General features: G+C 39.3%; 1 protein-coding gene across 6 annotated transcripts in view, besides 2 other annotated features; it reads left to right on the forward strand.

Moving 5' to 3' along the window:
• Positions 1–12,124, forward strand: part of PRDM2 (PR/SET domain 2) — a 124,892-nt gene that overhangs the window by 1,803 nt on the left and 110,965 nt on the right. For 2 of the 6 annotated variants that reach the window (NM_012231.5, NM_015866.6), the window contains exon 1: positions 1,764–3,655. The exons of the other annotated variants lie outside the window; for them this stretch is intronic. The gene's annotated coding sequence lies outside the window, so the exon portion shown is untranslated. Of the gene's footprint in view, positions 1–1,763; positions 3,656–12,124 lie in introns of those variants that run through there. 6 annotated transcript variants of the gene reach the window in all.
• Positions 704–1,053: an enhancer, noted in NCBI's record as "active region_215". NCBI's record gives its function as "activates an Ori minimal core promoter by ATAC-STARR-seq in GM12878 lymphoblastoid cells {active_cell/tissue: GM12878}" and the evidence as "EXISTENCE:reporter gene assay evidence [ECO:0000049][PMID:35858748]".
• Positions 1,114–1,163: an enhancer, noted in NCBI's record as "active region_216". NCBI's record gives its function as "activates an Ori minimal core promoter by ATAC-STARR-seq in GM12878 lymphoblastoid cells {active_cell/tissue: GM12878}" and the evidence as "EXISTENCE:reporter gene assay evidence [ECO:0000049][PMID:35858748]".

Genomic DNA, 12,124 nt, shown 5'->3' on the forward strand with positions numbered 1-12,124 from the left:
AGTACAAAACATAACAAAAGATTCTCACTGTAGAAAATTGGAAAGTAGAGAAAAGCACAAAGAAGAAACAGAAATTGGGCATAACCTTCCCCTCTTCAGATAACCATTGTTAACGTTTGGCAGATCTTCCTGTCTCTCTTGGTGTGGATATGCGTATTTCTTTCCTTATTTTACAGTTCATTCACATATATATATATTTATTTACATTTTATACAGGATTGATAATATAGTGTGTATATTGTTTGCAACCTGTCTTGCCTTATGATACGGTGAGCATGTATCCATGCCACTAACTAGTCAATATTATGTTTAATGGCTATTTAATATGTGGATGGGCCGTAAGTTATCAATCAAGTCCATATTGATCTGTAAGGTTTCTCAAGCCTGAGTTTTCTTTTCATTAAGATTTGTTTGAAAGTTTTTTTAAAATCGTGGGTTTTAAAGTTCTGTAATCTTTTGAGATTACAGTGAAAAATATAAATTCTGCTTTTTAGCATCTAAATAAGCATTTTTCTTGCGGGTGCAGTCATAAGAAGTAACACTCAATTTCAGCTTCCTTTCTTCCGTTCTTGGCTGTGGCTGTGCAGTTATGTACATATATCTGCGCCTATTCTTTTGATGATTATTTTACGTTAGATGTTTATTTATTCATGAGACTGTTTCTTTAAGCAGCCTGTTTCTTTTCAAGTTCCAAACCTGATTTACAAACCCTTTTTAAGTCCTGTTAAATCATAGACTTTCCAGGATGGAAAGCACCTTAGGTTATTTACTATTTTCATGTCTTCTGAGTAGCTTTTCATGTTATTTTTAATACTCATGCAGAAAAAAAACCAAAACAGCGGACTTCTACTAGAAAACTCCATAATGGGGAGTGGAAGAGGAGGAGGTTGATGGTTGGGGGAAAATCGTCAAACTTGCATGACGATGGGTAGCTAAGGGAGTTTCCAGATGATGAGGGACATCACCTGACTGTCCTTACCACAGATAACTGCCGCCCTGTGTCTAGGGCTTCACGCTTTGTGCGCTGAGCACCAGCTATGCTGTCACCTATGGTTACAACATTTGGTTAGAGGCCTGGGGTGGTGGTCCATCTCTCTCTTTTTGAAGCTACAAGTTTCTAGTTAGAGCTATAAAAACCACCTTTATGGAGTGTCTGAAAGCTGTGGACTCCATTACTGAAAACAATACTTAGCTTCCATTAAAGCAGAGTTTCTCAACCTCTGCACTTACTGACATTTGGGTGAGAGAATTCTCTGTTGTGGAGGACGATCCTGTACACTGTAGGATGTTCAGCAGCATCCCTGTCCTCTATCAGGGAGATGCCAGTAGCACCTCCTTCCAGTGTGACAGCCAGTAAAATCTCCAGACATTTCCAAATAGCACTTGAACCGCTGCAGTGAAGGAAGGCTCATCTAACTGTATGGTTGAATTATTGAAACAGATTATTGAATCTCTTTAAGAACTGTAAGGATAGACTAGATGGTTTACACCTTGAAGCCAAGAAGTGGACTTCAGGTCTGTCCACGTTCCTTTCCACCTTTGGTTTTGTGACTTTATTGAATGGTCAGTTTCAGCACTTTTGCTTCGGCATCAGTTTTGTGGCATGAGGTAAAACAATGTGAGGTATCCTGGAGATCATAAAGGAGTTTTCATGACGTGGAATCAGCATTCTTAGTATGCAGATTAAATTATGAAATTTGAATAAATTTGCATAGAGTTGATGCGTGGTAAATAATTTAAGCATATAGACCATTATGCTGAACAGCGCAGAAACAACTGTCTTCTAGAAAAGCAACTTGGTCCAGCAACCCCTTGAAGATTGATGGTAGAGGCTATGCTGTAGTTTTTCCGAAACCTGTTTTTTTGAAAACAACCAATTTGAGGTTATGCACAGAAATGGTGAGTTTGCCCTGAGGCAATAAGGCTTACTTTTGAAGTGCTTACCTAACTTTAACTTAATACATTATAATTTAAAGATAGTTCATTGATCTTTGTGGAAAACATGCAGCATTAATGCAGCTTTCCTCTAGGGGGAAAAGTATAAGTTGCCAAATCCTTATTTGTAATCTTTCTAAGTGTAGATAGTATTGATTGAATTTTTATTGTGGCATACGTAATCTTTAGTCGGAATGTATTGATAAATAAAACGTGAAAAGAGATGTGCTTTTGGAGCTACATTTGGTAGGGGTGGTTTTCTGAATTACAGAACATCTGTATAATTTCACTGGAATGAATGCATGTGTCGTTTAAATATTCTTTCTTAAAGAGAATGCCTTTCATTCCCCACCCCCACCTTCCTGAGGCATGAATTAGAGTTATTGTATGTAGTAAATCTGGCTCATTTGGAATGAAATATGCTTACAGTATTTTTCTTAGTACTGTATAGTATTTATTCTTAGAGTCTTGGTTCATGTCATGCCTATACTGTGTTTTCATTTATTAGTCCTTTGGAACATGCAATAAAGGAGATTTTACTGAATACTTATTATTTTCCAGCCATTTTGGTGAAAAGAATATTTTGTAGCTCTTGCAATAAATCATACTCTGGGTTTTGCTTTGAAAGAGCTGAATTACTTCTTGGCACAGCTTGTCTGAAATATGTAAAGCTAAGTGCAAGTGTTAGTTTGATTATAGGGGGCAGTCTGTCTGGAAATTGGTAAAACCCACACATTTTATATGTGCTTATATGTAGTTCTATTAAGACCTATGTTAAACTCTGGTGGGATAATTCCGTGGCACTTTCACATAATTTAAATTATGCCATGTAAGAGTCACTAAACCCTTATATACTTCAGTATGAATCCTGTACATTGCCCAAGACCTTGTTAAGAGAATGTAAATTAAATATAAATTGGAGTATCAGTGTAAAAGTGACATTCTAAATGTTCCTCACTCTGCGAGGCTTATTTTTTAGGGACTTTGCTATAATTCTGAAAGACTTAGTTTTACAGTACATCTGAAAGTAGGAGTTTTCAGAAGTATGGCTCTTGGGATAAATTTAGATTCTTAATTGTGAAGCTCTGTTACCACTTGTTAGAAGGCAGGTCAGCTCACCTGCTTGGGGAGGTAAATATATGAATGCACTCTCGAGTAATTTAATGGAGCCCTACCTCAATGTACAGAATGACAGTATCACAGATCAAGAATGGAGTACGAGTGATTTTCGGCTATGGTGGGGGTAGGTAGGTCACTTGTCCCCTGTTGTCTCTTACTATTTGTAAAGTGAAGACTATGATTAGTCTTTTTGATCGGGATGGTTTGAGATGAATAAAGAATAGGCAGGCAATTTGGATACTTTAGGCTTTTCAAGAACATTAGTAACATTTTTTCTTAGATATTTCTCCTAATACAATGAGTGTTGTGAAATAACATGGCAGTTATTGTTGAGAGAAAAGCCTTCCCAGTTATGTATTGAGTCCTTAGGCGTTTTGACCTTCCCTCCACTCTTACAGAACTTGGTGGAAGGGGCCACTATGTTTTCTACCTCCTTCCGTGCCTTTCACAAAGCCACATCCTGCACCGTCTACCCTTCTCTGTGGATATTTTTCCGCTTGGCAATTTCCTTTCCTGAGGCACCCACTTGGGACATCTGAATCTCCATCTCCATGTTGATGGCCCGTTTGTGCTTGGACGTGTTCTTCCACTTGAGACTGAGGTACTTTTCCCGGGAAGGTCGGGCATCTCCTTAGAGTCAGTAAAATGGAGCTCACTGGCCAGGCGTGGTGGCTCATGCCTGTAATCCCAGCACTTTGGGAGGCCGAGGCTGGTGGATCACGAGGTCAGGAGTTCGAGACCAGCCTGGCCAACATGGTGAAACCCCATCTCTACTAAAAACGCAAAAATTAGCCGGGTGTGATGGTGGGCACCTGTAATCCCAGCTACTTGGGAGGCTGAGGCAGAAGAATCGCTTGAACCTGGGAGGCGGAGGTTGCAGTGAGTCGAGATCGCGCCACTGCACTCCAGCCTGGGAGACAGAGCGAGACTCCGTCTCAAAAAAAAAAAAAAAAAAAAAAAATGGAGCTCACCACCTTTTACTTAAATATTGTCCCTACTCCTGACTGCTCTGTCTTTAAAATATATTCAAACCACCATTCCTGCAGTCACTCACATTCCAATTTTGGGACTCATCTTTGCCATTTCTTTTTTACCTCCTGTTCAGTTAGCTAACATTCTGCCCATTCCTTCCCTCTGCAGTGTCAATCATATTTTTTGTTTCAGCTCTTGACTGCAATTCAAACCCTAATTGCCTGTTCTCTTGGATTCTGAACTGACTTGCCCAGCCCCAGTCTTTCTGGCTGCCCTCTCCTCACCTACTTCCTTATTCTTTTCTGTCAACGTAATCTTCCTAAAATATTCAATTTTTCTTGCCAACACTGCCTTCTTAGTCCATCCCAGGTGCTAAAGCTGCCTTCCTTCTGGGCTGCTATGAAACCCGGCTCCTCTTACAGGTGATCATAGGCTCTGCTTCTCAGTCATTCTTCTTCCATCTTTCTCCACAGACCTTTTGGAATAGGGTGTGGAATAGGATTAGCAACTCCTCACACGGTATCTGAGAACTCTACCACAAGGTCAAGTTTAGATTTAACCTGGAACTAAGAGCCCCCAAGAACTGCCCATCTGTTCTGTCCTTGCTCTGCACTGAAGCTCACTTGAGTTGCACTGTTTTGCAGACTAAAGCAGACAAACATCAAAAGACAGTCTTTCATCTTTTTTTTTTTAAATCATAAATGGTTAGGCATTTCTCTTTACCTTGAAACAAGAACTAATGATTTATTTTGAGGAAATATACATTTTTTTTCCAAAAAAAGCTTGCATGTATGTAGTTTTAAGGGCCTCTTAAACTGTAGAATAGTGTACACACTTTGCAAACAGTAGGCATTGCCATTATTTTTAAATGTTTGTGAGAAGTAGTAACATATTTAGAGAATAAATCCCAAATCTCAAATTATTTAAAATAGAAGAGTCACTTTCTACCAAAACTAAAAAAAAAAAAACTTAATAAAATCTTCGGAGAAGACCTATAGAATCTTGTAGTAATATAAGTGTGCCTGACACCGTAGCAAAAGAGTTTAAGTTGTCATTTTATCTATTATGACTTCCAGTTTTGCTTTAGGTTGTTCACCTGTGAATTCAGGAAGCCTCCCCACCATTTATGTGCAGGTTGTATGGAAAATGAAAAGAGCTTCGAGCAGCTCCTTGTAAGATGCCTCTGTTGCTCAGAGAGTCTTCATGTGAGACATGAAGACTTTGGTGCCAGGACCACTACCCTGCCCGTGCTGCTGTAGTGTTCTTCCGCTTTTCAGGAAATTCACAAATCTTTTGCAGGATTCCTAGACATCTCTTAATTTTAAAAGTAACATCTGCATTGGCAACTCCAGTGGAAAAATAGTACACAGGGGTCAACTGAGGATTCATTTTGTTTTGGGAATTGTGAAATGAGCTATCATATGGCATCTTGCTTTAGAAATTTTGTCTGAGTTAGAAGCTTGGCATTTGAGCCTTAGTCAAGAATTGATTTAATTTTCCTTTTATAAGTTAAAGTTTTTATACATCTAATGTAGGGAAAATGTCAGAAAAGAATCTTTCATGGAAACTTCTGTTACTTTAATACTGTTTTGCAGGAGGTAATAATGGCCTTGAATCTGAAGCATAGTTCTCATCAGAGAGCAAGCACTGATTGGAAAACTCTTGTATTCTGACCTGCCCCCAGATTTTTACATTTGTATTTCTTGGCAATTAGTCTTAAAAATAAGGAAAGGAAATTAACATTTTAATTCAAGAGTCCTTTGATTGGATGGAGTTACTTCATGCAGGAAAATTGACAATAATTCTTTTTTTTTTTTTTTGTACTGTTGGAGGGGAGGAATATCCTATAGTGAGAGCTAAGATAATATGTTTTAATTTCTTTAGAGAAACTGGGTAGTTTTAATAAGGGGGTTGCAGGGAATTATTGTAGGAACCCTAAACAAAGCTTGAGATTTGTGATGTAATAAATTACATGTTCAGTGGAATATGACTTAGGTGTATAAATTTAATCAAAAGTATGAGGGAGAGCATATATTAATAGCTGTCAATAACAGCAATCAATAATAAAGAATAAATAATCAGCAACTGCCATACGTTTACTTCTGAGCTGGCACATTATTAATGGATGCTTGGAGCAGTAGATTTTGAAAATTTCCCCTTTAATCTTTTTTTTTTTTCTTCCCAAGTAAAGGAAGAGTTATTCTGACAGGGAAAGAACCCTGGAATGCCACAATCTAAATGCGGATTTATAGTCCTTTCCTAGCATATCAGCAGGTCCCTTATTTGCCATTTTGATATGGTGTTATTTAATTGCTCTAGGCCCATTGGAGCCGGAGGGCTGTTGACCTCAGAGCTCTATAAACTTAAATATATCAAACAAAAGCTTGAATCAGTCTCATTTTCTCACTGGAGCTCTGCAGCTCCAAAGCCACTGAGAACAGCAGACCCTTGGTTTTTCTAATCTGTTACATGGAAACTGTGTTATTAGTATCAGATCGTCCCACCTGGAGTAAACTCGATACACTCCACTTCGCTATTTAGGTTTCTCTGCTCTATGCATTCGGGGAGTCAGGGCCTGCGATAGTTGTCTGTCTGTCGTGTTCTAGGCCTCACTGAGGAAACTGATCATTGAAATGGGAGAAATTACTGGTTTATTTGTGAACATTCTATTCTTGTATCTCTTATATATTTGTAGGTAGGGAAATTGCTGTATATGATATACTCTGTGTTAAACATTGTCTTTTGGTATTGGGAGAAATCCTTCGGTGGGTGAGAGGCGTGAGTGGTTTCAAGCAGAAGGAATTTATTGCCTCTGGTTCAGCAGCTTGCCACACCTTTCCTGTCTGCGCAGTCTCTCTCCACACACATAGAATCTCCTTATTCTTAACGTATCAGGTTTGATTTTTCACTTTATTTAATTTGGTAATATAGTCTGCACTTTAATACCAAGGTTGGGGCTGTATTTTTTTAGTACGAAGCTAGATGATTACTCTTGTGAAATTGTATTATTTTAGAAAAGGAAAACTGATGAATTTTCATTTAGCAAATTCCTGGGCAGATTCAATATCTGTGCTTTTGTTTAGTCTAACAAGTGGATACTACATGTTTTCATATTGACATCTGAAGTTTACAGTTTTTTTTTTTTTTACCCAAAGTATTTTTATTGCTATATTAGCAGTGGGTTTTTTGGATATGTTTTTAAGGGCCACATAAAAATAGATTCAAGGAACAAATTAAATTGAAGTCCTAGATTTAAATGTTTGGTTTAAAGAATTTTCTACAACAAATTTCAACAGATTCTAATCGTGGAGTCTTTCTGAAGAAAAAAAGTTCACAGATTGTAATTTAGGAATTGTGCGTGGTAGTTTTCTATGACAATGAATACCTTAATAGCATTTTAAAATCAATAAAAACTGTTTTTGAGAAGTTGGCATATTTCAGACATTTTTATTATTTTTCTAGAAGTTTCAGGATTGCAAGAATCTTTTGGTCAGAGTAAGGTCAGTGTTAGACGACACTACAAATCTAGTCTGCTAAAAGCTGCATCATCTCTGTATTTGCTACAGTATTTATTTGCCTTGAGAACTACTTTCTGTGGTGATTAGCTTTAGAATTTTTTTTGTGTTGGCCATGAACTTTCTAAGACTCCTTTCCCAAAATGGCAACTGTTTTTCTTGTGTCTAGTCCATGTTTTCATTCTGGTCTTTTAAATTTGATAAAAACGTATTCTCTTACTTATTTCTGTTTTACTCTTTATCCATAAACTTCCTGAATCATGAAAGTTAAAGTTTTTTCTGATTCTTGATGTCACAATGTAGAATTTTTTGTAACTTAAAATAATTATAAAATAGTATAAGTGACCTCTATGTGTCTATTGCAAAGTTAATTATTTTCCAGTTACTCCTCCCTCCCTGCCAGAGATCTAAAGTGATCCTAAAGAAAATTGTAAAAAATAATATCAGTGATTTAGAGGTGAATGTACAAATCAAATATGTATTTTCCCAATTCTGTCCCTTGCCCCACAGATGTAAACTAATCTTTAAAAAAATCTGTTCTCCTACTTTGCCTTTCATATAGATTTGTAGATTTTTACAAGTCCGTAAAGGGCAGATATGAAGACAGTTTAAGTGTTACATGCATTACATTAATGCTAGTTTGTGTCTTTGTTTAGATAAACCTGCTTTATTTCAGAGGATTGGTAATAGAGGGTGCTGGGGCTGCAGGGCTGGTATGACCCAGGGAAAGGGCTGTCCCACATGTGTCTAGATTTTCTGGTCTCTGGACTTCCGTGTCAGAAGACAGCAGCTTAACAGTTGTTGAGGTTGTGTTGACACTTTATGGGACTAGTGTCTTAGTAATGACTCAAATTATTTTATTGTGGTTATATTGATACTGATCATTAATCATCAAATCATCTTTATGCTATTAATAAATGTTTCTAAGACTGATTTGTCTAGAACTTGAAAGCAATATCTTGAAAAGTTAAGTGCATATACTCATGTTATTAAAAATGTTAGATATGTAAAATAGAGATCAAGCTCTTATTTTCTAAGAGTGCATGCTCTTCTGGGACTGATAAATATTAAGGTGGGATAGAAGGGATATGTTAGACTTATTCGAGGGGTGCTGTACAAATATTCAAGAAGGTTTGATTAGGCGTGGAAATGCAGAAAAGAAACTAAGGCATAAGCCAAGGTCAGAGAAGTCCTAGGGATTTAAAGATTTTCAGTATCTGCTGTTAGCAAAGCAGAGGCACTTAATTGTTTAGCACTTCAAAAAAGAGCATTTGGCCGGGCGCGGTGGCTCACACCTGTAATCCCAACACTTTGGGAGGCTGAGGCGGACAGATCACGAGGTCAGGAGATCGAGAGCTTCCTGGCTAACACAGTGAAACTCCGTCTCTACTAAAAATACAAAAAATAGCCGGGCGTGTTGACGGGCGCCTGTAGTCCCAGCTACTCGGGAGGCTGAGGCAGGAGAATGGCCTGAACCCGGGAGGTGGAGCTTGCAGTGAGCTGAGATCGTGCCACTGCACTCCAGCCTGGGCGACAGAGTGAGGCTCTGTCTCAAAAAAAAAAAAAAAAGAGCATTTGGTAGAATTGCTAAGGTTTCAGTGATACGCTTGGAAAGATTTTTCTCTGCCTCTGCACTGCTGGATTGATCATTCCGTTTCACACGTTTGATAAAACCTTGGCCTGGAGATACCATGTATTAGTTAAATGGGTGTGTAAAGACAGGACTGTTGAAGTCAACACTGAATATGAAGGTTATGTAGGATTGCCATGGCACTTCCACGGGGGTTTTGAGCAGTGCTGGAGGAATCTTAAGGAAGTTATTCCAAACATTTTTAGATGCTGTAGTTGCTTTAGTATTCTATTGCAGCTCGTCACATGGTTACCACATTCAGAGGTTCTCAGTTGGAAGGGCATTTGAGAATGTGTGTACGTATTTTCGATTGTCAAAATGATTGGAGGCACTGCCAGTGTTGATTGCTCAAAGCAATGTTAAGTGCCCATAAGGAAAGGGACAGTCTTGCTCAAGGAGTTGGCCAGTCCAAAATGCAGGGTTCCTCTGTTGAGAGACTCCGCCCAGGTCTTACTTCTTTTCCTTTTACACCCCTTGTTTTTGATATAGTTGAATAAAGAATTAAGTTTTTAAAATAACATTTGAGAATTCACTGTCAGATTTACAGTGCTTTTGTTGTTGTACAATATTTTATGTATATAGCTTGACAATTTTGTGAGTCCAAGAGGGAGAGAGGAAAAAATGAGAGTCTGGTTTTTAGCAATTAGGATTTGGAAGTAATAGGGAGGAGGCTCTCCCCACACAGATATATAGTGAATCTTTAAGAAAAAGATGTTATGATCTTTCTTTTCTCTGGAAAGAAATAAGTGCATTCTCATTTGGACAGAGAGGAAACAGGTAGTGTAGAAAGAGAAGATTATTAATTATGTAGCAGTCTGAATTTTATTCTAACCTTTTTTTATTAAGAAAAAGATGATAGCCTGGGTAACAAGGTGAGACTCCATCTCTACCCAAAAAAAAAAAAAAAAAAAAATTAGCCAGGCATGGTGGCGCGAGCCTGTAGTCTTAGTTATTTAGGAGGCTGAGGTGGGAGGATCACTTGAGCCCAGGAGTTCGAGGCTGCAGTGAGCTATGATTGTGCCATTGCAGTCCAGCCTGGGTGAGAGAGTACTACACCATCTCCAGAAAAAAAGAAGAACATGAGATTCCTTGAGATAATCAAATAATGCAATGTTTTAAGTACTATTGTAATTATTCAATATCAGATGTTAGGATATCTCAGTTGTCTGAATTGTGCCTACAAGCTAGCAATGACAAAAGGTGAGGAAAAGAAAAGAAGTGTTAAATAAAGAGGGAAAACATGAAAAGCAGATGGTAAGAAGAAGGCAGCATCTCAGAAAACAGCAGCTCCATCCTCCCATGCCCTCAGGACCAAAACCTCAGTGCCATCCCTGACTGACTTTCTTTCTTTCATGCCTAAGATCTAAAACTGCAGCACATTTTGGGTGCTCGAGACCATCATGGCCAACATGGTGAAACTCCGTCTCTACTAAAAATACAAAAATATTGGCTGGCCTTGGTGGCACGTGCCTGTAGTACTAGCTACTCAGGAGGCTGAGGCAGGAGAATTGCTTGAACCCTGGAAGGAGGTGGGGGCTGCAGTGAGCCAAGATCACACCACTGCACTCTAGCCTGGCGACAGAGCGAGACTCCGTCTCAAAAAACAAACAAAAAAAAGAAATAAAATCTATCCATCCATCCGTCCGTCTGTCCGTCCAGGATCCAGTTACTTTTCACATCTCTTCTACTGGCTGAGCCATGCCCCCATTGTCTCTTGGTTAGACTGGGCATCAGCCTCCGACATTGCCTCTTCATGCGCCCCTCACCGACTCTGCACCAGCCACACCAACATCCTGGCTCCCTCTCTGCTTCCCCAGGCTGCAGCCTTGTGAGGCTTCTCGCTTTTGCTTCCACCTCCACCTCCATATAACATTTCTCCCCATACTTTCCTGGTTTGAAGCTCGTCCCTTTCCTGGCTTTTATGTAGACTGCTCCTTCTCAATCCTTCTCTGACCACACTGTTGAATTTGCATAGAGATTGTAGTAACTATCTCCCTCTCCATAACTCTTTATTTTTTTCTAAAGCGCTTTCATTTTCTGGCATGCCACATATTTTACTTATGTATTTACTGTGACTGTCTTCCCCAAAAGGGCAGTGATCTTCCTCCTTTCCACTGCTCAAGGGCAGTGCTTGACACATAGTGGGTGCTCATGGGGAGGCAGGAGTAAAAAATTGGTGAAATGTAGTTAAGATGCATTAGCAGAAACCAAAATTATGAGACCTTGACCGAATTATCTTAAGCTCTTGTTAATTGAGGATACCAGTGCTGTGCTTATTTTGGTGAAGGGGACCTGAGCTGGTTCATTGAAGGCAGCACAGTGCCTGCAAGTCCTTGGAAGAAGCTTCATAAATGATAGTGATGATGATACCGATGATTCTTGTGAGAGGGAAAAGGCAAACAAAGGGAAATGGTAAAGCATTATAGCTCTTTCCAAACATCTTTTATTACAACATTTGCATTTTACCGCAGATGTTTTTTGTTCTGTTCCTCAAAGAGAACTCCCCTGAGCCAGTGTTAATAAATCTACCTATAAAAGCTTTGTCAGAGGACACGTGAAACCCCTAACATCTTATTCACCTGGGGGAATAAGGTGTCACGCAGGGCCACCACGTGGAACTGGATAGTAGTCAGTAGGCGTTTCTGGTCGAGGGTCAGGTGTGCACATCTGAGGGATCACTAACCTCATCACTGTTTAATACCAAAATATACATTTTTTTTTTTTTGAGACGGAGTCTCGCTCTGTCGCCCAGGCTGGAGTGCAGTGGCACGATCTCGGCTCACTGCAAGCTCCGCCTCCCGGGTTCACGCCATTCTCCTGCCTCAGCCTCCCGAGTAGCTGGGACTACAGGCGCCTGCCACCACACCCAGCTAATTTTTTGTATTTTTTAGTAGAGACGGGGTTTCACCGTGTTAGCCAGGATGGTCTCGATCTCCTGACCTCGTGATCCACC

This window comes from Homo sapiens, chromosome 1, assembly GCF_000001405.40.
Source record: "Homo sapiens chromosome 1, GRCh38.p14 Primary Assembly".
Lineage (NCBI taxonomy): Eukaryota > Metazoa > Chordata > Mammalia > Primates > Hominidae > Homo > Homo sapiens.